Consider the following 23,636-nt stretch of genomic DNA (forward strand, 5'->3'; position numbering starts at 1 on the left):
ATACTGGAGAATCTGATGTTGAACTTGGTTTTATGAAGTATAATAGAGAAAATAACGTGCATATTTTTAAAATGTGCAGTTAAATTGACTAATGGTGCAAAACGAAGCTGGACATAGAGATGATAAATAGAGAAGAATGGTCCAGTTAATGTATATCAGAGAGTCTCCACAGTCACCAGGTGTGAGGGCATGGATAGGTAACTAATAAGAAATCCAATAGTTGTGGGCTGTAGCCAGGTATTTGGGGAAGGTACTCAATGCTACTGATACTTGCTTTCATGATCTCTGGAAAGGGCGTGATAATCATTGTGTGAGGATTAAGGGAGGTGATGAATATGAAAAAGGTTTGAAAACTGTAAAATGCTTACAGTGGAAGGTGTGACATGAGTTAAACTGCTTGACAGCTCAGAGGAATGAAATCAATCAAGTCTGCAGGCTTCATGCAGGACAGGAGGTAGACCTGAGCTGGGTAGGATTTGGACAGATGAAGCAAAGGAGTGAAAGGTCATTCCAAGACAGGAGGTCGGCATTAGCTGGACAAAGGCATAGAGGTGGGAACCCGCACACCATAAAAAAGGGGAGTATTCATGATGGGAAGAGTAGGAATAAAATAAGATGGGAAGGAGGGAAGATGTCATAAAGGCAGGGTTTAAACAATAATTTTAAAATTATAAAAACTTGTGTGCACCATACACTTACTCTTGTTTTAAAAGATCTGCTAATGTACTTTCCTCCATTACCAGAGTATGAGCTCCTAAAAGCAGGCAGTTTGAGCACCTCATGGAGTCAGGCAGCTTGATAGGAACCAAGGATACAGAGGTGAGGCCATCACAGCAAGGGTCCTCTGAGAATTGGGTGGAATTTTCTAGATCCAAATTCTGTTTACCTTTTCTTTCCTTTAGAGATGGGGTCTCACTCTCTTACCCAGGCTGGAATGCAGTGGCACAATCATAGCTCACTGCAGCCTTGAACTTCTGGGCTCAAACGATTCTCCTACCTCAACCTCCCGCGTGTGATCCGCCTCACCCAACTAATTTTTAATTTTTTGTAAAGATGGGGCCTCAGTACGTTGCTCAGACTGGTCTTGAACTCCTGGCCTCAAGCAATCCTCCCACCTCGGCCTCCCAAAGCACTGGTACTACAGGTGCACATTACCATACCTGGCTAATTTATTGTATTTTATTTTCTAGAGACGAAGTTCTTGCTATGTTGCTTTGACTGGTCTCAAACTCCTGGCTTCAAGTGATCCTCCCGCTTGGGCCTCCCAAAGTGCTGGGATTACAGGTGTGAGCCATTGCACCCAGCCTAGATTCAAATTCTTGCATGTTAAGCAGTTCGCCATAGTATCAGGATTCTGTAAGGAAGCATGGGTGCTCCCATCACCAAGTGCAGAGCCTGTCACATGGCATCGGTTTAACAAACGTTGAAATGGATAAAGACAATTTGTCTTTCTTATTCTTAGTTTTATATAGCTATAATTGTGGTATACACATAATTTTATATCTTTTTTAACTTAACATTGTATGATAATTTCCCCATTTTTGTCATGTAAGTTTATTTTCTTCCAAATTTTTTTTGGGGAAAACTATCAACCCTACAGAAAAATCCAAAGAAAGTATACTGGAGGCTGGGCACAGTGGTTGAAGCCTGTAATTCCAGCACTTTGGGTGGCCGAGGTGGGCGGATCACTTGAACTCAGATGTTCAAAACCAGGCTGGGCAACACGGTGGAAACCCTGTCTCTATTTAAAAAAAAAAAAAAAAAAGTAAGTGTGGTGTAAACCTATTTACCCTTCAGCTAGATTCACCTCTTTTTAAATTTTGCCATATTTGCCTTATTCCTCTCCTTTTTCTTTCATTTTCTTAACCATTTGGTACAAGTTGCAAATATCATGACACTTTGGTTTTACACACTTTAGCAGGCATTGCCAAAGAATAAGGAATTCTATCAGGCTACAAGATCATTATCACATTTAGGAAATTTAATATTTATTTAATAATATTGTCTGTCATACAATCCTTATTAAATTTTTTGATTTTTCCTGAAAGTGTCTTTTATAGTTTTTTTCTTTTTTTATTTTGTTTTTGAAAAATCTTTAAATTTTCCTTCAGGCAGCCTCCTGAGCCAGAGTAGGCTCAAAGAAACTCCCTACAGTTTTTTTTTTTTCTGATTCCAGATTTTTTTTTTTTTTTTTTTTTTTTTTTGAGACAGAGTCTCGCTCTGTCATCCAGGCTGGAGTGCAGTGGTGCAATCTGGGCTCACTGCAAGCTCTGCCTCCCGGGTTCACGCCGTTCTCCCACCTCAGCCTGCTGAATAGCTGGGACTACAGGCACCCGCCACCATGCCCGGCTGATTTTAATTTTGTATTTTCAGTAGAGATGGGGTTTCACCGTGTTAGCTGGGATGGTCTCGAACTCCTGACCTCGTGATCCACCTTCCTCGGCCTCCCAAAGTGCTGGGATTACAAGTGTGAGCCACCGCGCCTGGCCCTGATTCCAGATTTAATTAAGTTTCCCCATTTCATCTGTTTGTTATGTTCCTTTAGTCTATTTTAATTTTGAACAGTCCCCTATTCTTTTGTTGCTAGTTTGTTTTTCATCACATTTATCTTTTTGAAATGTCCAGGCCAATTGTCATGTAGGATGTCCCACATTCTGGACTTTTCCATAGTTTCTTCATGATTAGATTCAGGTTACACATTTCTGAAAGGAGCACTACATAGGGGATGTTGTGGACTTTCTAGTGCGTTACACCAGAAGGCCCATAATGCCCATTTGTCCCTTTATTGGTGATGTTAGGCTTGATCACTTGGTTAAGCTGGAGTCCACCGGATCTCTCCACTTTACAATTTAAAGAAAGCTGTGGAATGATATTCTGAGAACTTTTAGCTATTTTCTTCAAGCAACATATTACCCCATTGTTTTATCCCCCACATTGATGATCTATACTTAAATTTGCTATTACACTGGGGATTGCAAAATAGTGACTCTCTAATTCTGTAATTCTATGAACTCAAAATATCTGAGACAGGTCTCAAGTAATTTAGAAAGTTTATTTTGCCAAGGCTAAGGATGCACACATGACAGCCTCAGGAGGTCCTGAGGACAGGTGCCCAAGGTGGTCACGGCCCAATCAATATGTGTAAAATGTACATTGGTCTGGTCTGGAAAGGTGGGACAACTGGAGGCCAGGGAGGGGGCTTCCAGTTCATAGGTAGATGAGAGACAAATGGTTGTATTCTTTTAAGTCTCTCATTGGCCTTTCACTGAATACACAATATACATGTGAGAGGAGAGGAGAGGAATAGTCACTTATGCCTTAGTCTGGTTTAGTGAAGCAATAGGGCAGAGGAAACAATAGGGCAGAGGAAACAATCAGATATGCATTTGTCTCAAATGCATATAATATTCAGTCATGAGCCTCAGAGGGATGATTGAGTTCCACAAGGAAATTCCTTGTGGGCAAATTGGAGGAAAGTATGTCGCTTTTTAAAATCTTTGTAGCTATCTTATTTAGGAATAAAATGGAGCCAGGTGCAGTGGCTCACGCCTATAATCCCAGCACTTTGGGAGGCCGAGGCGAGTGGCCTTATGCAGGCTTCATGCAGGACAGGAGGTAGCCCTGAGCTGGTAGGATTTGGACAGATGAAGCAAATGAGTGAAAGGTCATTCCAAGTCAAGAGGTCAGGAGTTCAAGAGCTTGTGCTCAGGAATTAGAGACCAGCCTAGGTAACATGGCGAAACCCCTTCTGTACCAAAAAAAAAAAAAAAATTAGCCAGGTGTGGTGGTGTGAGCCTGTAGTCACAGCCACTCAGGAGGCTGAGGTGGGAGGATTGCTTGAGCCTGGGAGGTAGAGGTTGCTATGAGCCAAGATCGTGCCACTGTACTCCAGCCTGGGCAGCATAGTGAGAGTTTGTCTCAAAAAAAAAAAAAAAAAAAAAGGTAGGCAGCATTGCCTGACATAGTTCCCAGCTTGACTGTTCCTAGCTGGCATTCTTCTGTAAAGGAGAGCTTTCTTACCTCTCCCCCAACCTCCATCATGGAGTGAATTTTTTTTTAATTCAACATGATATAATCCATTATTATCATATTATTATTCTTTTTGATGCCCAAATTACCCAAAATTTGACTATTGGGAGCCTTTTCAAGAGGCTCCTGTGTCCTTCTTCTGTTTTGTTTTGTTTTTTTGAGATGGAGTCTTGCTCTGTCGCCCAGGCTGGAGTGCAGTGGCGCGATCTTGGCTCACTGCAACCTACACCTCCCGAGTTCCAGCGATTCTCCTGCCTCAGCCTCCTTAGTAGCTGAGGTTACAGGTCCCTGCCACCACACCCAGCTAATTTTTGTATTTTTAGTAGAGACAGGGTTTCACCATGTTGGCCAGGGTGGTCTCAAACTCCTGACCTCAGGTGATTCACCCACCTCAGCCTCCCAAAGTGCTGGGATTACAGGCGTGAGCCACTGCGCCTGGCCTCCTGTGTCCTTTTGACTTGGTCCCATCAATGTTTAAGCTCTTCAGTGCTTTCTCACACAAGATGTTCCAGAATCACTTTGTACCTCCCCTGCTGCAGACTTAGAATCAGTCATTTCTTGAAAGAAACCTTACTCCTTTTAGTTGGGAATGGTATTTTAAAATTGACTTTTTACTTTGTAATTTCATTTTATTTTTGAGACAGGCTATCACTCTGTCTTCCAGGCTGAGTACAGTGGTGTGATCATGGCTCACTGTAGCCTCAACCTCCTGGGTTCAAGCGATCCTCCCACCTCAGCTGCTCCAATAGCTGGGACTTACAGGCATGCACCACCATGCCCAGCTAATATTTTGATTTTTTTTGCAGAGATGAGGTCTCACTCTGTTGCCCAGGCTGCTCTCAAACTCTTGAGTTCAAGTGATCCTCCTGCCTCGGCCTCCCAAAGTATCGAAATTATAGGCATGAGCCACTGTGCCTGGCCTGTAATTTTAAAATGGTTATTTAATATATCACCAAATGAACATACCTCAGTTTAGTTCAACATTACCTGATTTGTTGAGTACTTAGGCTATTTCCAATCTCCCTTTTTCTAAACACCTCTTTATGGAGATAATTTTTCCTAGTTTCGCATTATTTCCTTTGGTGAGATTCTCAAAAGTAGAAATCTTGGGGCAGAGCATAAACTTTTTTGACTCTTGCTACACACTGCCCAGTTGCTCTCATGGATAGTTTTAAAAGTCAGCCATGACTTCTAAATGTCAAACCTAATTATTTTGTCTCATTTTTTTTCCCCTTGACTTCTTTGCACCACCTGAGTCTGTTGACTCCTGTCCTTGAAAACTTCTTCTAAACTTTCTTAAAATGACACTTTCCTGGTTTTCTCTTCTCTCAGGCCACATTCTTTTATTTAAAGTCTATTTTTTTAAATAAATTTAATACAGCACCAGAGATACTGCTCCTTTTAAGAGCAGAGCTAACCCATAGGCAGTGTGCCTAGAGCAGCCTCAGGCCACATTCTTGTTTCCCCTCTTAACCTCCTAAAGTTGTGCATATTCCAAGGCTAAGTCCTTAGCCCTCACTTTTCTCACTGGGTACTGAGTACAGCATCTTCACTCCTGTTTGCCTGGCTTTGGGTGTCCAGTTCTGTCCTGAACTCTGATTCTTCCTAAGTTTTGCTGTCCAAGTCTGGTCCTTGCCTTTTGTCTCCAGCCTTGTCTTGGGTCCATCTCTGTCCATAACCTTGAGAGGACAAGCACATCCTAGTGTTCTCACATATGCACTTTGTTTGTTGGGATCTTGGATGTTAAGACAGAGCTCCATTTGGGCCAAGTTTTGTTTTGCCTATATAGTTTTGGTCAACTCAGTGTTTAAAAAAATAATTGAATTAGTTGCCGATATTTAAAAATTTATAACATCTCACACAAAACTCCAGATTGCTGACTTCCTGTTTTTTTTTTTTTTTTTTGAGATGGAGTCTGGCTCTGTCACCTAGGCTGGAGTGCAGTGGCCTGATCTCAGCTCACTGCAACCTCCGCCCCCCGGGTTCAAGCAATTCTCCTGCCTCAATCTCCCTACAGGGACTACAGGGGCATGCCACCACACCTGGCTAAGTTTTGTATTTTTAGTAGAGACGGGGTTTCCCCATGTTGGCCAGGCTGGTCTCGAACTCCTGACCTCAGGTGATCCACCTGCCTCGGCCTCCCGAAGTGCTGGGATTACAGGCATGAGCCACTGTGCCTGGCTGACTTCCTCTGAAATATCAGAAGATCTGGTGCATTAGGCTTATATTCCCATCAGAACATCTGGTACAACTGGTGGAAGATAAGTAGCCTGACTGGTTTCAGATGAGGCTATATCTCCAAAGACCATCCTAGGTCCTTCCTAGCATTTCATCGAAGCCCCAAGTCAGTTGCTTTTACCAACTTTCTGTTTTTCTTCCCTCCTTACTATAGAGTTAAGAGGAAAGGCCGGGCGTGGTGGCTCACACCTGTAATCCCGGCACTTTGGGAGGCCGAGGCGGGCAGAACACGAGGTCAGGAGATCGAGACCATCCTGGCTAACACGGTGAAACCCTGTCTCTACTAAAAATACAAAAAAAATTAGCCGGGCTTGGTGGCGGGCGCCTGTAGCCCCAGCTACTCGGGAGGCTGAGGCAGGAGAATGGCGTGAACCTGGGAGGCGGAGCTTGCAGTGAGCCAAGATTGCACCACTCTGCACTCCAGCCTGGGTGACAGAGCAAGACTCCGTCTCAAAAAAAAAAAAAAAGGAAAGTGCACTATTTCTCCAGGTCATGTCCCTATTAAGGATAGTAAAAGGGAAAAAAAGAAAGAAAGAAAGACCTAAAAGGGCTACAAATTACTAGAAAAATAGGAGCACACACTTTTCTTTTTAGTGAAAATACAGACTATTCCTATTTGATATTAAAAAACATGATTCTGTTTTGAAAGGACACAATTTGAGATGCAGCAGCTCTAACCTATAGTCCTAGCACTTTGGGAGGTCAAGGTAGAAGAATTGCTTGAGGCCAGTTCCAGGCTGCAGTAAGCCAAAATTGCTCCACTGCACACCAGCCTGGGTGACAGAGCAAGACCTTGTCTCTAAAAAAAAAAAAAAAAAAAAAAGCAAACCTGGCCATGTCACTCATTTATGGACTCCATAAGAAACCTCTGTTCAAATATTTATGGAGAGACTGTGTGCTTGGAACACAAACATATGTTAAGATCTCGTCCTGCCTTCAATGAGCTTGAATTTTGAGTTTCCTAACTGTAGTGGTTTGTGACTTAAAGTTGGAGCCTGATAATAAGAGAAGGGGGACACGGGAGTGGAGGGTCTCCAAATGGCCTGCCAAGTCAAGTCCTTCTATCTGACTCCAAATTCAAGATGCTTCCCTGCCCTTCCCACCTGAAATCAAAATAGGGCTGCTTCCTAACAGAGCCCAGGCTCCCACCCAAAGGTTTATATGGGTATAGTAAACAGTCCCTTTCCCCTATCTTACCAACACAAACTGTTTCCCCATCTCCCCAGCCTGGAGTCAGGGCCTGGGTAAAAGAGGAACAGGACCAGAAATAGGTAGAGATTCACATCCTTCAGGGTATGTGACCTCTTCCCAGTAAAGGGAGATTGCCTACCAATACATACCTATTACTTCATGTTCTGTTCACATTCCATCACCTCAGGAAAAAAAAAAAAAAAAAAGAGAGCGGGCAAGCGAGGGCATGTTTGCGTTTTATGCAAAAAGCAAGGAGGAATAGATTCACATACGTATATGCATATATAAATATATATTCATACAAGGACTGTTGTGGAAAGATATAGTGGAAACTGAAAATAATTGGTGGATAGGGTGAAAAATGAAAAAGAGCTGTACTTTTTACTAGACTTTTGTGCATGTATTCCCTATTTAAAAATAAATGACCCAGAGCCTCCGTCTCAAAAACAATTTTTTTTAAAATTAAAAAAACAAACAAAAAAAAATTATCCGAGCATGGTGGTGCACGCCTGTAGTACCAGCTACTCAGTTGGCTGAGGCAGGATAATCGCTTGAACCCGGGAGGCGGAGGCTGCAGTGAACCAAGATCGCGCCATTGCACTCCAGCCTGGGCGACAGGGGAGACTGTCTCAAAAATAAATAAATAAGTAAAAATAAAAATAAATGACTCAATAAAAAAATGTACATGAAAAGAGAAAAAAATCACAGGGTCATAGGGGAGCTGTTTTGCTGGTGTGGAATTATTCAGACAACTATATTTGGTAAGAAAGGGATTATAACGGCTGGGTTGAAGCTGTATCAGAGCATTACATGAGAGTTACTGTAGGTGGCGGTCCTCGGAGTGCCTCAGTTTTCAAAGGAGAGAAACGTTGGTTCGTTTCAAGAAAGTGAATTACGATTTATATAAAATGTTACAAAAAAGGGGAAAAAAATACCGAGCCCCTTGCCGTGCCATTGTTCCCACAATGCCGTGACTCGGATTCGAACCGAGGTTGCTGCGGCCACAACGCAGAGTACTAACCACTATACGATCACGGCGAGCTACCGGGGACCCGTAGGGGTTGGCTTCTGATTATCCTCTTCAACAGTCATAGGCCTTCCCAGTTTGCGCGTCATTAAATGGCCTACTTACGGGGCGAGGTTCCAGCCTGTCCCTGAGTCTGATAATGCGCAGGCGCGTTGTACTCCGCCAGTTGCTTTTCTTCTTCTGTTTTGGCCCATTAGCCACGGGCTGTGGTGATGATGAGATGGGCTCCCGGTGAGCGCAGTGGGAGTTTAGGGGAGACGGCGTGAGCATCCAGGAATGGGGCTGGGCGGAACTCAGACTACCCTTGGGGGATGCCCGTTTCCTATGCCCCGGAGACCCTTGCCGCGAACCCTCCAGGGTTCCGGTCCTACAGGGGGCGCTCCTCACGGGTCCTCCCTCCTGCTGCATCCTCCAGCGGTGACCCAATGCCGCCTCTGTGGAGATTGTGGACACCCTAGAACCAGGTTCCACGTAGAAAAAAATTCAGCAAACGCATCTCCCCATGTTCCCAACACCCACTTCCTTCCAGCCTCTCATACTCCCCTGACAGCCCTGACTCCTCCTGACTCCTCCTTCCGCAATGCTTCCGCCGTGCCAGGTGCCCACCTAGGCTGTGTCACGGGGCCGCAGCAGGGACTAAGTCCGATTTTAATTATTGTCCATCAGTGCTCTCGCCCCCACGGCGCCTAGAACCGGGCCGAGTACACAGCAGGCAGTGGCTATTTGCTAAAACTCAGAAGGTGCCATTGGCATTTAACAAGTGAATTCCAGAGAGAACACCTGTCTCTCCAATGTCACCCTCTCCCATCAATCCTCCCTATGCAGAGCCGCGGGAGGGATCTTGCTAAACACGATTTGAATATTTTCACTTCTACCCTCCTCACCCTCACCCCTAGACGGCAGGAACTTCGTCTGCCTTTTCCAGCTCATCTCTTGGCCCTCCTTCAGTGTCGTTCCCCATGCCTCAATTTCACTCATTCAACTCAACACGTCCTCGAGAAGCGCCTACTACCTGTCAGGCCAGAGCCTTTGGGCGTTGTTGGGGTGGGGACTTACAAAGAAGACAGAAGACTTATAAAGAGGAATTAAGATCTTTCCTTTTCGGTGAAACCTCGTCTCTACTAAAAATACAAAAAAACTAGATGGGCCTGGTGGCGGGTGCCTGTAGTCCCAGCTACTCGGGAAGCTGAGGCAGGAGAATCGCTTGAACCCAGGAGGCGGAGGTTGCAGTGAGCCAAGATCGCGCCACTGCACTCCAGCCTGGGTGACAGAGCGAGGCTCCATCTCAAAAAAAAAAAAAAAAAAAAAAAAAAAAAAAAAAAAAAAAAGATTTTTCCTTTTCAAGACTCCCTTCAAGCCTCTGTACACGAAATCATCCTGGCTGCCTGACAAATTCTCACTGTGCCTTTAAGAGCTACCTTGATCCTCACTTCCTTTGCTAAGCCTTCTTTTCCTATCATTAGGAATCCGCTCCCAGTGCTTCTGTGGAAATTTGTACGTATGTCTACTACAACACTTTTTAAACTGGCGAGTGGTCTGTGCTTTGTCTTCAAGAACGCGCCCAGGCTCAGAGGACCCGGAAGCCTATATCTTTCCAAAGTCCAATTTAGCCAGAGCCAGCGTAAACGTCGCTCTCAAATGTCACAAGGGAATCGGGGTCCATTTTCCACAATGTTGTGAACTCAGGATTAAAAACGGATTGGTACAATAAAACAAACTCCCCTTGCCGTGCCATTGTCCTCACAATGCCGTGACTCGGATTCGAACCGAGGTTGCTGCGGCCACAACGCAGAGTACTAACCACTATACGATCACGGCGAGCTACTAGGGACACAGGACCTCGGCTTGTCGCCTGAACTCTTCTCTGTTGAAAGCCCCGCCCCCTTGCAATGTCATTGATTTGTCATTGTTTGTTCTAGCCTATCTCCACCCTCGCAGCCATCTGAGGGCACGCAAGAGCATTAATCTCTGCTTTCTCGATTTTGGTCCACACTTGCCTGCGCACCAGACACGGTGGCCGATTTCTCCACCGTGGAGGCTGCTCTTGGGGTTCCCCTTACCTCGCGCCTCAAGGAAGTTGTATGGTGGTGGGTCAGAACTGATTTTCCTTCTTGTAAAATTTAAGAGCTCCAGTCCCAGCCAAAGTCGTTCAGATAGCATGATAGTCAGGGCATGGTGAGCGTCAGAGAGACTTTGGGCCACCATTCGGGCGTCCTCAGGGGCTTCACATCATTGCAGGCCCGGCCTCATAGGAATCCTTTGGTTGCAAAGCACTTTCATGTCCCTTCTTTTGCGGTCCGTGCGTACAGCCAAGAGGAGACTTCGGGCTAGGGAGTCCACAGCGCTCCCGGCTGCTCTTGCGGGTGAACGTGGGTGCGGGAGGAACCTGGTAGATAATGGACGCTTAGGAAAGCTGGAATGGCCGCCATCTAGACGAGAAGGGCAACACTGGGTCAGCTGCTCGTCGTGGCGTCCCGGTAGCTCGCCGTGATCGTATAGTGGTTAGTACTCTGCGTTGTGGCCGCAGCAACCTCGGTTCGAATCCGAGTCACGGCATTGTGGAAACAATGGTACGGCAAGGGCCTCTTTTTAGACTTAGAAAGCCACACATTCTTCTGGGAAGCTAACTCTAAAAGCTGTTACCTGGCCAGGGCTGAAATTATAACGGACAATGAAGTGTGCACAAAAAGTTCGGTGCACACTCTGGGGCTTTCCTTTCTCATCTGCTAGTGAATCAGTCACCCCCACCTTCCCCAATATGTGATTATTTTATTTTTGTGTAGTTTCTGTGTGGTACTCTTTATTTTACCCTTGTGAATGACCGAATCATATATTGGATCCTCTAAAAACCTTCACACTAGCTAAAACATCAATACTTTGGGACAAAGGGGTGATAGGAACAATGTGCAAACATTAATTAAGGGTTAGAAGAATGCAGATTAGACCATACGCTGAACCGTTTTGCTTCAGATCCCGTGACAAGTGAAATATATGACTGCACTAGAGGTGCTGGTTCCAGTAGCCACTATGAGGGGTGCTAATGAGAGGTTTGTGGCCTTCATCTCCACAGTCTCCTAGGTGAGAGGGGGTTTTCTCCTGGAGGGTTTTCCCCTAATCTACCTCAAGTTTAAGCACATTTTGTTTGCTTGTTTTATGTGGACCTAAAAAACCCAAACTCAACAAATTCAAGTCTGTCATTTGGCATTAGGCAAAATGGAAGTGAGTTTTGGATTTGACTTTCAGGCAGCTGGTGGTGGCTATGTCACTCTCAAGGAGGGAATGAGAGGGCACTGAGGAATGAGCCTCTCCAGCTCCTCTCAGGTGTCCTGAGGGTGGCAAGGCAAGCCCGAGATCATTCCTGGGAGAGACAGACATTGCAATGGGGTTGCGCCCCCTCTACCCACAATCAATCAGTAAAGAATGAACAGCACTTAAAAGCTAGGCACTGGCTTCATGCCTGTAATCCCAGCACTCTGGGAGGCCGAGGTGGGCGGATCTCTTGAGCTCAGGAGCTCCAGACCAGCCTGGGCAACATGGCGAAACCCTGTCTGTACCCAAAATACAAAAATTAGGGCATGGTGGCGTGTGCCTGTAGTCCCGGCTACCTGGGAGGCTAAGGTGGAAGGATTGCTTGAACCCGAGAGGCAGAGGTTGCAGTGAGCTGAGATCACACCACTGCATTCCAGCCTGGGCGACAGAGCAAGACCCTGTCTCAAAAAAAAAAAAAAAAAAAAAAAAAAAAAAGCAAGGCACTGCGTGGGGGCTGTAATCTCCCCAGGTCTCCAGTCTCCCAGTTCTCTACATTTGGCGAGTTTAAACCACACAACAGGACAGCTCACACCTCGAGAGTGTTCTGCGCAAAATAGAATGGGGAAAGGTGAGCCTGAGAACTTGCCAAGCTTTGGATGACTGATTCAAACGTTATATGTCTAGAAAATCAACATCGCCAACAACAAAAAAAGAACTGGCCAACAGGAATGTGGTGACTTATATTCCTCCAACCCCTCACCAAATAACTGCTGTGACGGATTTCAATCTGTGGGCTGGAATAAGGTGTCAGGGTGGGATGCCAGGAAAGGCTCTGGCTTTTCCCCTGAAGACCAGCCCCCACTGCCCTGCTGCAGGTGCTTCAGTAGGCAATGAGCTGCTCCCACACCCTGAGGAGAAAGTTAGGAGTAGCCACTCTCTAAGAGTACTACAAGGAAAAAGTGTCAACCAAGAGGCTGGGCATGGTGGTTCATGCCTGTAATCCCAGCATTTTGGGAGGCTGAGGTGGGAGGATTGCTTGAGCTCCGGGGTTTGAGACCAGCCTAGACAACATGGTGAGAAGCTCTCTCTATAAAAAATACAAAAATTAGCCAGGTGTGGCGGTGTGTACCTGTAGTCCCAGCTATTCAGGAGGCTGAAGTGGGAGAATTGCTTGAGCCTGGGAGGGGGAGATTGCAGTGAGCCGTGATCATGCCACTGAACTCCAGCCTGGGCAACAGAACAAGACCCTGTCTCAAAAAAAAAAAAAAGCGTCAACCAATAAAACAAAAATCACAAACATTCACCATCTGAGATAACCCACTAGCCATCCATGTCTGAGGTCAGGAATGCTAAAGAAAGCTGAACTGAAAGTGTTGTATTGTGACCTAGTTGCAGGAAGAGTGACACGAGGGGAGGGCTGCCTTTTTGGCAGCTACACGGTAGTCCATGAGATGGGCGCATCCAGCTCTCAACATTTCATAACATCCTCTTCTGAGGTCACTCAGTCAATTTTCCTTACAAAACAGACTTTGATAATGATTTGCCCATTAGACTTCCCTACAGGAAAAAGCATGCTTTGAACAAGCTTATTGGCACTGTTCTCCTAACTGTGGGTGTTTTGGTTTAGACTCATAAGAGTCTGGTTAGCATAATTCATTTCCCTTGTGCCTACTTATCTCTAGGTACACTGACAAAATGGAATGTCAGGGCTGGCAAAGCCCTGCTCCTGGAGACCCTGGCCTGGAATGACCTCATCAAGACCCCGCTGCCCTGGGACACCCTCTCTGAGCAATCAGTCAGCACCCCCTTCCTGTTGGTCCCTTGCTTTTAAAATTGTTTTATGATTTCTGATTCTGGGAATGTAATATTTCCTCCTATCACTTCCAGCTTGAGGTTGGAACTCTTCTCTAGGTCTCAGTGCCAGGAAAGAGGTAGGGTGCTTATACTTAAGAGCACCCTGTTCACACATTCCAGCTCCAGTTGTTCCCATCTTGGTTGGATTTGTTAATTTCTGCAGGTTTCCAACCTCTAAGTCACTTTGAATTTTTTTCCCTTCCATCTGATAGACCCTGAGGTACAGTAGTTGATAGTACTAGACTAGTCCTAACTCTAATTAAGGGGTAGCATAAGTTGGGGATGGTGGCTCACGCCTGTAATCCCAGCACTTTGGGAGACTAAGGTGGGAGGATTGCTTGAGCCCAGGAGTTCAAGACCAGACTAGACAGTATAATGAGACCTCGTCTCTGTTGGGGGAGCTAGCATAGCTTAGTAATGAAGCCTCTGACACCTGAAAGTAGGCTGTTTAAGATTTGAATCTCAACTCATCCATTTACTAACTAGGTGACCCTGGGGAAGCAACATGTCTCCATGCCTCAGTTTTCTCACCTGTAAAATGATTGTAGAATGACTTCTCATCTGTAAAAGGATTGTTATGAAGATTAAATGAATGAATATTTGTAAAGCAATAGTGCCTGGCACTTACAAAGCCCTACTGAAGTTTTACTTAAATAATATAGTAGATGGGAATATAACATAATGAAATCAACTCCTTAAAAATGAACACCCTGGAACATAAACATCCAAATGAGTATTGTGTTTCAAATCAGGCATTCCACTTTCTCCAAACAGCTGCCCAAAATATTTTTGGAATTCTTATTTGGAGATTATTTTCAGGGCTAATTTATAAGCCATATGAGTACATCCACCTCAATATTTATAATCACATTCTATTTTGAAATAACTTTTGACTGCTTTTAAAGCTACCTTCAAAGAGAAAAATGTCACCACTGAGTCTTTTAAGGCACAAAAATTTCAATGACAATGCCAGAAATGTTTTATAAATAACATTCCAGCAAAAGAAAAACAATTTTTTTTTTTTGGTAGGAGTGTGTAGACTTCAAAGGGCAAACCTTGAAAGGGACAACAGTAATTTATAAGCTTCAGATTGTCTGCTTAAACCATCAACCCCACAGCTTCCTGGTTATACTCCCTGGTTATACCTCGTATATCTGGGAGCTGCCAACCCCCACAGGGGCGCAGTGTTGAGCAGCTGCCACTGGACCAGCAGGCTCTGGTCCTGGAAGGCTTGTCCAAAATTCAGAATCTTGATCCACAACTCAGAATTACCCAGTGAAAATCTTCGGTTTTCCACAAGGTCCTCTCCAAGTGATTCATCTGCACAGGAAAGTTTGAGAAGTGCTGCTCTAGCCTAAAGCTCTAATGGAATCCTTCATTGTTCATCTTGTGAGTACTTGGGTTACTAGAAGGGACCTGCCTGAATCTACTGAGCCTCATCAATGGGGATGTCATTGAGGTTTTCACAGTGAGGAGATGGTGATCTGGGAGGGAGTCATCAAAGGGCCCATGTTTAGGGCCGTCTAGGGAGGAGGCAGCACATCTGGATTTCCACTAGAAGGCGCTGTGCCCCAGGAAGTAGTAGTGAAAAGCTGAGGCTGGAAAAGACTCATTTAATTTGCAACATACCACTTCTGACTTAACTGAGCCTGTTCCACAGGGATTCTCTGGGTAATGAGGACTCAGATTTCATCCATCTACTTATCTATCCATTCATCCATCCATCCATCCATCCATCCATCCATCCATCCATCCACTCATTCATTCATTCATTCATTCTTCATTCTTCCCATAAACTAGCATCTCTTAGTTCTTAAGTCATTGGGGGCTGCAAAGCTGTATAAGATACTTCTTGCCTAGAGTAGTTTATTTTTGAGCTGAGTTTGTCAACTGAGATTTGCCCCTCATCCAAAGTCAAGTGACCAGCATAGACTGTTCAATATGCTGTAGTCGGTCTCTTGTTTCTAGGTACTTCTCTCCATATCCACAAAAAGAAACTGTAGGGAAAGATGGTGCAGGACTTTATTCCTGGCATGAGACCTGAAACTAATTCCTGAGTCAGGAAGAATGCAGGAGCTGCCTTGCAGAAGCAAAGGTCTAAATCAGTGGTTTCCAAACTTTTTAGAACTGATAAACTAGGACAAACTTTTCACCACTGAATGAAAAAATGAGGTCAATGTGGTAAGCTTTTAAAATGCTAAATGCATTTAATCCAAAGGACTGTCCTCTAGGCTGAGACAATGACCTTTTTATTTTTGAGGTATTAAAGTGACTTTTATAAAACTATGGAGAAAGTAGGTGATAGGTGTTTTTTTGTTTGTTTTTGTTTTTGTTTGTTTGTTTTTTAGACGGAGTCTTGCTCTTGGCTCACTGCAACCTCTGCCTCCCAGGTTCAAGCGATTCTCCTGCCTCAGCCTCCTGAGTAGCTGGGATTACAGGCATGTGCCGCCACACCCAGCTCATTTTTGTATTTTTAGTAGGGACGGGGTTTCACCTTGTTGGCCAGGTTAGTCTTGAACTCCTGACCTCAGGTAATCCACCTGCCTCGGCCTCCCAAAGTGTTGAGATTACAGGCATGAGCCACTGTACCCAGCCAGTGATAGGTTTTAAAAAACATCTTTTCTTGGAAACGTTTTAAATTGGCAATGTTGGTCTCCAAAATTAGTTTTGAGTTACTGGTCAGAAAAATCTGCAAATACAAAGCTCACTACAGAGTTCAGAGAGCCAAAGCATCAGGCTGAGCAGAAATGGTCCTGGGTGAGTAGGGGGTCTGAGGAGGCATGCTCAGAGGGAGATGTGTTCCTGTTCTGTTGGGCAATGGTCCATGCTGACACCTATCCTCCTGCCCAATAACCAGTAGTGCCTAGTATGATCTGTGCTAGGCCTTGGAGATATGAATTAAATAAGACCCATTCTTACTCTGAGATCATTTTAGTTCGGGGTTAATCAGATGAGTGAAGAACTAATTAGAACTATGCCAGACATATATACAAAGTGTGTTGGAGCTTAGATCGTTGATTCTACCAGGATACAACATTTGATCTGAGTTCCAAGGCATGCATAGTACTTTTCCTGGAAAAGAAAGGGAAAGGATATTCTACTTGGGAGGCTGAGGCAGGAGAATCACTTAAGGCTGAGAGGCGGAGGTTGTAGTGAGCCGAGATTGCTCCACTGCACTCCAGCCTGGGTGAGAGAATGAGACTCTGTCTCAAAAAAGATAAAAAGGAAAGGGTATTCTAGGCAAAGAGAAAGGCATAAGTAAAAGCAAGGAAGTATGATGCACAGATAGCATAGGAAAAGACAAGTTGTAGCTACAACATTAGATATGGAGGGGAGGGAGGCCGGGGAGGGCGGATCACTTGAGGCCAGGAGTTCGAGACTAGCCTGGCCAACATGGTGAAACCCCATCTCTACTAAAAATACAAAAATTAGATGGGTGCAATGGCACATGCCTGTAATTCCCCCTAAAACAAACAAACAAAGAAACAACAAAGATATGGAGGAGAGAGTGGAGGGTGAGAGGCTGGAGCCAAATTTTGATGAATCTCTTACTTGAGTCAGGCCTTTTTCCTGGAGGCTGGTGTTTCTTCACATTTTGTGGTAACATTGCTTTGGGGATCCATTGACAGCCACAGCCTTGTTCTCCAAAGTAATACACCTATGATAAAATATCAGGAATTCACAAATTTCCTGAAGGCTGTCCATAGGCTTTGTGTCAGGCATTGAGGGGAGAGGGGCATTTAAGTTCCCATTTTTAAGCAGAAGAGAGACATAGTCATATCTGTGTTTTAGAAAGGTTAGGTGTAAATGGATAATTATATCCTGATAAAAGTCTTCATTCAGGAGAGACAGAAGAGAATTTCTGCTCCCTGGACTAGTAGTTGATGTTGGAGCTCGGGGACTAATACTCATCTAGGGATGAACGAGGGACTCTTCCCTCAAATCACACCTATAGATGTTTTCTCTTTAGCATGGAGGTAGAGGGGATGAACATGTTGGATAAAAAAAAATGGATATGAGGCTTGAGTGTGTCATCCAGAAGATCACCAAGATGGCTAGATGGTAGAAAGGAGAGCTATATTGGTGATATCAGTTTGCAGCTGGGAAGAGAAAGTCTCCAACGTGGACCAATGGTGCTCTTTCTTCTTCTTCTTCTTTTTTTTTTTTTTTTTTTTTGAGACAGTATTTCATTCTGTCACCCAGGCTGGAGTGCAGTGGTGTGATCATAGCTCACTGCAGCCTTGAATTCCTGGTCTCAAGCCATCCTCCCATCACAGCCTCCCAAGTAGCTGGGACCACATGCACACACCACCACACTCAACTAATTTTTGTATTTTTTGTAGAGACAGGGTTTCACCATGTTGCCCAGTCTGGTCTTGAACTCCTGTGCTCAAGTGATCCACCCACCTCGGCCTCCCAGTGGGCTGGGATTACAGGTGTGAGCCACCTCACCTGGCCTGCTCTTTCTTCAAGGAGGGGAAGGACACGTTGGGTTTTATGCTTCACAGAGCTTGTGTCATACACATTCAGCAGATTTGGGGAAAAGCTATACATATTTATGAGGGAACTCTATGTATGGGCAATGGGTAAACATGTATGTAACATACATGCCACGTTCACTTTGGGGTAGGATTTTGGCATTGAAATGAGGTGGAATTGGCTCCACATCAAAAGATGAACTATAGGACACCAAGGCAATTTGTGCACAGCCTCTATAAGCTGTCTGAAACTGGCTTAAGGTCTGCAATAGCTTCTGAGAAAAGAATATTTGTAAGGCTGGTCCTCTGTCTAATCAGACTTGGGGTCTGGGTTGTAAATCAGAGCTCATAGCTCCTATTATTAGAGACCTTAGCCATAGGAATTTAGCAATTTGCTATGCCAGCCGGCACCTTGGACCCATAGGTAAGTTACTTTCCTTAAGCTTTGAGTCTGTCTTACTTGATAATGGTGCATCCATTTTGGTCTCTCAGATCAAAAGAGGAAGATCTAATATCAAGTGTATAATGTTTTCTAGAGTCAGGGTAGCCAAAACAGCATGAAAAGAGACGTATCCATGTTATACTGATATTGTTAGCATTGAGCATTTGACATGATGGTACAATGTGCAAATTTCAAATGTAATTTTAAGTTAAAAGGGAAAGATACATACAAAAATTGCAACAATCTGACTTGAATTTCTTTTATTTCCAAACTTTCTTCTAAATTTCAGTCATACTGGCCACGGTGTTTCATGCCTGTAATCCCAGCTGAGGCGGGTGGATCATAAGGTCAGGAGATCGAGACCATCCTGGCTAATGTGGTGAAACCCCATCTCTACTAAAAATACAAAAAAATTAGCCAGGCGTGGTGGCGGGCGCCTGTAGTCCCAGCTACTCGGGAGGCTGAGGCAGTAGAATGGTGTGAACCCGGGAGGCGGAGCTTGCAGTGAGCCGAGATCGTGCCACTGCACTCCAGCCTGGGTGACAGAGTGAGACTCTGTCTCAAAAAAAAAACCAAAAAACAAACAAACAAACCCCAAAAATTAGCCAGGTGTGGTGGTGCGCACCTGTAATCCCAGCTACTCGGGAAGCTGAGGCAGGAGAATCACTTGAACCCAGGGGGTGGAGGTTGCAGTGAGCCGAGATTGCACCATTGCACTCCAGCCTGGGCTACAGAGCGAGACTCCATATCAAAAATAAAAAAATTTCAAAAAGTCAAACTATTTCTGTGTCATGACTACTCTGGTTCACTGGCCTCGTCCTGAGTCTAGATAAAATATTTTTAACCATATAATCAAAGCTGCAAATAACTTCTTTTTCTTCAATTCTCTTTGGCCAAATGCTTCAAGAAAACTCAGGTGATTCACAAGTTCATATGTTCACAAATTCTCTGATACTCCTCCCTTCAAGAAGTAGAGCTTAGCCAGGCTTGATGGCACAAGCCTATAGTCCAGCCACTTGGAAGGCTGAAGTGGGAGGATCACCTGAGCCCAGGAGTTTGAAGCTACAGTGCACTATGATTGTGGCTATGAATAGCCACTGCACTCCAGCCTGGACAACATAGCTAGACCCCATCTCTAAAAAAATTTTTTTAAAAAGAAGTAGAGGCCGTGCACGGTGGCTCACACCTGTAATCCCAGCACTTTGGGAGGCCGAGGCAGTCGGGTCACCAGAGGTCAGGAGTTCAAGACAAGCCTGGCCACCATGGTGAAACTCTGTCTCCACTAAAAATACAAAAATTAGCTGGGCTTGGTGGTGAGCACCTGTAATCCTAGCTACTCCAGAGGCTGAGGCAGGAGAATTGCTTGAACCCAGGAGGCAGAGGTTGCAGTGAGCTGAGATCACGCCATTGCTTTCCAGCCTGGGCGATAAGAGCGAGACTCCAGTCTCAAAGTAAAATAAAAAAGAAGTAGAGCTTAATTTCTCTTCCTGAAGTGAAGGTGGGCTGAATGAATTATTCTTTGAATGAATAGAATAATTTGGAAGTTATGGTGTGTCACATCTGACAGGTCTGATAGGACATTATAAATGGCATTGTAGCTTCTTCTTTGTTCTCTCTTGGATCACTAGCTCTGAAGGAAGCCAGCTGCAAGGTCACGAGGAGACTCAAGTGACCTCACGGGGTTGAGATCCATGTGGTGAGAAACTGAGCCCTCCTGCCAATGGTCATCAAGGAAATGAGATATTTGGCCAATAGTTATGTGAGCAAGCCATCTTTGAAGCAGATTGTCTGGCCTCAAATCAAACCTTCAGGTGACTGTGGCCTTAGCCAACATCTTGACAACGACCTCATGGGAGACCCTGAACAAGAATCACTCAGCTAAGTCACTTCCAAATTCCTGAGTTAAATTGTGAGATAATCATGGCCAGGTGTGGTGGCTCATGCCTGTAATCCCAGCACTTTGGGAGGCCCAGGTGGGCGGATCACTTGAGATCAGGAGTTCGAGACCAGCTTGACCAACATGGCGAAACCCCGTCTCTACTAAAAATACAAAAAAAATTAGCCAGGTGTCATGGCGTATGCCTGTAATCCCAGCTACTTAGGAGGCTGAGGCAGGAGAATCGCTTGAACCAAGAAGTGGAGGTTGTGGTGAGCCGAGATCACACCACTGCACTCCAGCTTGGGTAACAGAGCAAGACTCCGTTTTGGAAAAAAAAAAAAAAAGGAATTGTGAGATAATTAGCTGGGCACGGTGGCTTACGACTGTAATCCCAGCACTTTGGGAGGCTGAGGCGAGGTGAGTGGATCACTTCAGGTCAGGAGTTCAAGACCAGCCTGGCCAACATGGTGAAACCCTGTCTCTACAAAAATACAAAAAAATTTAGCTGGGTGTTGTGGTCCATGCCTGTAGTCCCAGCTACTCAGGAGGCTGAGGCAGGAGAATTGCTTGAACCCGGGAATTGGAGGTTGCAGTGAGCTGAGATCGCACCACTGCACTCCAGCCTGGGTGACAGAGCAAAACTCTGTCTAAAAAAAAAAAAAAAATTGTGAGATAATCAATGTCTGCTTTTAAAGCTGCTAAGTTTTCAGGTAATTTGTTACACTGTGATAAGTAACTAATACAGATTTTGTTACCTAGAAGTGGGGGCACTGCCATAACAAAACCCTAAAATGTGAAAGTGGCTTTGGAATTGGGCAGCCTTGGAGGAAAGTGTTAGTGAAAAGTCTGAATACCTTGAAGAAGCCTCAGGGCCCTTGAGGAGGTTGTAAGTGAGAGCATAAAGAGGAAAGTGAGGAAAATCTTGTTGTCAATTGGAGGAAAGGGGTCATTATTATATAGCAGCAAAAAGTTTAGCAACACTGTTACCTGGGGTAATGTAGAAAGTAAAAATATACCAGATGAACCACATGATCTAGCAAAAAGCTTTCCAGGAAACCTGTTGAAAGCATCTCCTGGTTTCTTCTTATTGTTCATAGGAAAATGCAAGAGGAGATAGATAAGCCAAGAACTATTAAACATGAAGGACACGAAGGAACCAGAATTTGAGGGTTTTGAAAATTTTCAGCCTCTCTAACTGGCTAAATGTAAAAGATAGATTAGGTTTTGGGGGTTTTGTTTTTGTTTTTGTTTTTTTAGAGACAGGGTGTCGCTCTGAGGTCCAGGCTGGAGTGCAGTGGAATGATCATAGCTCACTGTAGCCTCAAACTCCTGGGCTGAAGCAATCCTCCTGCCTTGGCTTCCTGAAGCTCTGGGGTTATAGGCATGAGCCATCATGCCTGGCCAAGAAGTGAATTCTGAGCAAAGATCAAATCTAGGGCACTACTGGGAAAACATGGTCTAAAGACAAAGTAAAATTCTTTGTCATAATGATCCAAGGTACAGCCTCAGAGTACCATTCAGTAAGACAAATGGCCCTCTAAAGATTTTAAGGGTATGCTTTATAGATACTCTCCTTTAAACAGTGGGGCTTTTCAAAAGCTAAACAGCATTGCACCTCAGCAGATGCCCAATATTGAGAAGGGCTTATTGCAAAAAGGTTTATGGCTGCGATCTCAGACTTACGGAATGAACCACAGTAAGATTCACAGAAGACCCACAACATTTAAGAATCATATTGGCAGAAACAGCTTGGAATGAAAGGGACAAAGATAGTACATGAATGAAGAGACTTTTGAATTCCCAAAATTTCACCTGCTGTAATCAGACTGAGAAAACTCTACAGCTGAAAAACATGAGTTATCTCTCATGGAAAAGGAAGGATGACTTAGCAGAACCAAGAGCTCCAAGGTAGGGGCCAAAAGTCATGGGATGAATCCCATTCATTCAGTAGGAATGAATCCTAATAAAAGAATCTCCAAACTTTGCCTAGCTGGGTCTCAGAACCACTATGGACCAGTCCTATTTTTCCCCTTTTTGCACAGGACTGTTTACAGTGTTTATCGTATGCCCATCCCACCACTGTGTGGTGTGTGTGGGTGTGTGGGTGTGTATGTTGGGGAAGATAATTTATCTCCAGTTCACAGGTGTTCAGATTGCAAGAAGCTGTCTTTAAGGAAATACACCTGAAAAGCATTGTCTGCACCTGGACCTGATTTATATACTGTGACTCTGGATTTTGAACTGATACTGAAATAAGAAGAGACTTTTGGGGCCCTTAGGAAAGGGGTGAATATATTTTGTGTAGGGAATTGCAAATAAGTGATTTGTGGCCTGATGGTGGCTTAAAAATATATCCACAAATTCCTTGATACTCTTCCAAGTATCTTCTTCAAGATGTAGAGCTTAATTTCTCCCCATTAGAGAGAAATTTGGATTTAGTGACCTTTCTAACAAATAGAATATGGCAGATGTGACAGTGTGTCACTTTCCAAGTGAGGTCATACAAAGCATTGCACCTTTCTTCTTGCTGTCTCTGTTGGGTCATTAAAGCCAGATGCCATGATGTGAGGACACTCAAGCAGCCCCATGGAGAGAGCTGAGGCTTTTTGGCAACAAATGTCTGAGTTTGATAACTTTCATTTAAGCCTATGACTTTTTTTTTTTTTGAGACGGCGTTTCGCTCTTGTTGCTCATGCTGGAGTGCAATGGCGTGATCTCGGCTCACTGCAACTTCCACCTCCCAGGTTCAAGCGATTCTCCTGCTTCAGCCTCCCAAGTAGCTGGGATTACAGGCATGTGCCACCACGCCTAGCTAATTTTGTATTTTTAGTAGAGAAGGGGTTTCTCCATGTTAGTCAGGCTGATCTTGAACTCTCAACCTCAGGTGATCCACCCACCTCAGCTTCCCAAAGTGCTGGGATTACAGGCATAAGCCACCATGCCCGACCCTCCTATGATGCATTTTGAGTTAATTTTTGTATATTCTGTAAGTTAAGAGGTAAGTTTTTTTCTTTTAGTTTTTAAAAAATACACTGCTATTCAATTGTTCAAGCACTCTTTGTTGAAAAGATTATTCATTCCCCATTTTATTGTCTTGGGACCTTTGTCAAATATCAATTGATGGCTGGGTGCGGTGGCTCACACCTGTAATCTCAGCACTTTGGGAGGCTGAGGCGAAAAGAGGCTGAGGTGAAAAGAGGCCGAGGCGAAAGGATCCTTTGATCTCAGGAGTTTGAGACCAGCCTGGGC

General features: G+C 44.5%; 1 protein-coding gene and 3 non-coding genes across 12 annotated transcripts in view, besides 9 other annotated features; 1 reads left to right on the forward strand and 3 right to left on the reverse strand.

Annotated features, from left to right (window-relative positions):
* Positions 1-10,935, reverse strand: part of SHF (Src homology 2 domain containing F) — a 33,903-nt gene extending 22,968 nt beyond the window's left edge. For 7 of the 9 annotated variants that reach the window (NM_001394046.1, NM_001394045.1, XM_047433286.1 and 4 more), the window contains exons 1-2: positions 10,546-10,935; positions 8,591-8,939 (exon numbers count right to left, since the gene is read on the reverse strand). In NM_001394046.1, coding sequence (NP_001380975.1) covers positions 8,591-8,893 — 303 coding nt within the window. In that variant the 5' untranslated portion in view covers positions 8,894-8,939; positions 10,546-10,935. The remainder of the gene's footprint in view (positions 1-8,590; positions 8,940-10,545) is intronic. The other 2 variants (NM_001394048.1, NM_001394047.1) reach the window with 1 other exon arrangement.
* Positions 8,355-8,474: a silencer, noted in NCBI's record as "silent region_6402". NCBI's record gives its function as "represses an Ori minimal core promoter by ATAC-STARR-seq in GM12878 lymphoblastoid cells {active_cell/tissue: GM12878}" and the evidence as "EXISTENCE:reporter gene assay evidence [ECO:0000049][PMID:35858748]".
* On the reverse strand, positions 8,425-8,496 carry TRH-GTG1-7 (tRNA-His (anticodon GTG) 1-7). Its single transcript has one exon. It is a non-coding gene; the product is annotated as a tRNA-His (tRNA).
* Positions 8,555-8,904: an enhancer, noted in NCBI's record as "active region_9351". NCBI's record gives its function as "activates an Ori minimal core promoter by ATAC-STARR-seq in GM12878 lymphoblastoid cells {active_cell/tissue: GM12878}" and the evidence as "EXISTENCE:reporter gene assay evidence [ECO:0000049][PMID:35858748]".
* Positions 9,465-9,624: an enhancer, noted in NCBI's record as "active region_9352". NCBI's record gives its function as "activates an Ori minimal core promoter by ATAC-STARR-seq in GM12878 lymphoblastoid cells {active_cell/tissue: GM12878}" and the evidence as "EXISTENCE:reporter gene assay evidence [ECO:0000049][PMID:35858748]".
* Positions 10,125-10,404: a silencer, noted in NCBI's record as "silent region_6403". NCBI's record gives its function as "represses an Ori minimal core promoter by ATAC-STARR-seq in GM12878 lymphoblastoid cells {active_cell/tissue: GM12878}" and the evidence as "EXISTENCE:reporter gene assay evidence [ECO:0000049][PMID:35858748]".
* TRH-GTG1-8 (tRNA-His (anticodon GTG) 1-8) lies at positions 10,232-10,303 on the reverse strand. The gene has a single exon. It is a non-coding gene; the product is annotated as a tRNA-His (tRNA).
* Positions 10,505-10,794: an enhancer, noted in NCBI's record as "active region_9353". NCBI's record gives its function as "activates an Ori minimal core promoter by ATAC-STARR-seq in GM12878 lymphoblastoid cells {active_cell/tissue: GM12878}" and the evidence as "EXISTENCE:reporter gene assay evidence [ECO:0000049][PMID:35858748]".
* Positions 10,505-11,174: a biological region, named in NCBI's record as "H3K27ac hESC enhancer GRCh37_chr15:45493041-45493550".
* Positions 10,662-11,171: an enhancer, noted in NCBI's record as "H3K27ac hESC enhancer chr15:45493041-45493550 (GRCh37/hg19 assembly coordinates)". NCBI's record gives its function as "activates a minimal SCP1, AML or CMV promoter by ChIP-STARR-seq in naive H9 embryonic stem cells {active_cell/tissue: H9 hESC(naive)}" and the evidence as "EXISTENCE:reporter gene assay evidence [ECO:0000049][PMID:30033119]".
* TRH-GTG1-9 (tRNA-His (anticodon GTG) 1-9) lies at positions 10,970-11,041 on the forward strand. The gene has a single exon. It is a non-coding gene; the product is annotated as a tRNA-His (tRNA).
* Positions 11,045-11,104: a silencer, noted in NCBI's record as "silent region_6404". NCBI's record gives its function as "represses an Ori minimal core promoter by ATAC-STARR-seq in GM12878 lymphoblastoid cells {active_cell/tissue: GM12878}" and the evidence as "EXISTENCE:reporter gene assay evidence [ECO:0000049][PMID:35858748]".
* Positions 11,125-11,174: a silencer, noted in NCBI's record as "silent region_6405". NCBI's record gives its function as "represses an Ori minimal core promoter by ATAC-STARR-seq in GM12878 lymphoblastoid cells {active_cell/tissue: GM12878}" and the evidence as "EXISTENCE:reporter gene assay evidence [ECO:0000049][PMID:35858748]".

Source organism: Homo sapiens, chromosome 15 (assembly GCF_000001405.40).
Source record: "Homo sapiens chromosome 15, GRCh38.p14 Primary Assembly".
In the NCBI taxonomy this organism is placed as follows: Eukaryota; Metazoa; Chordata; class Mammalia; order Primates; family Hominidae; genus Homo; species Homo sapiens.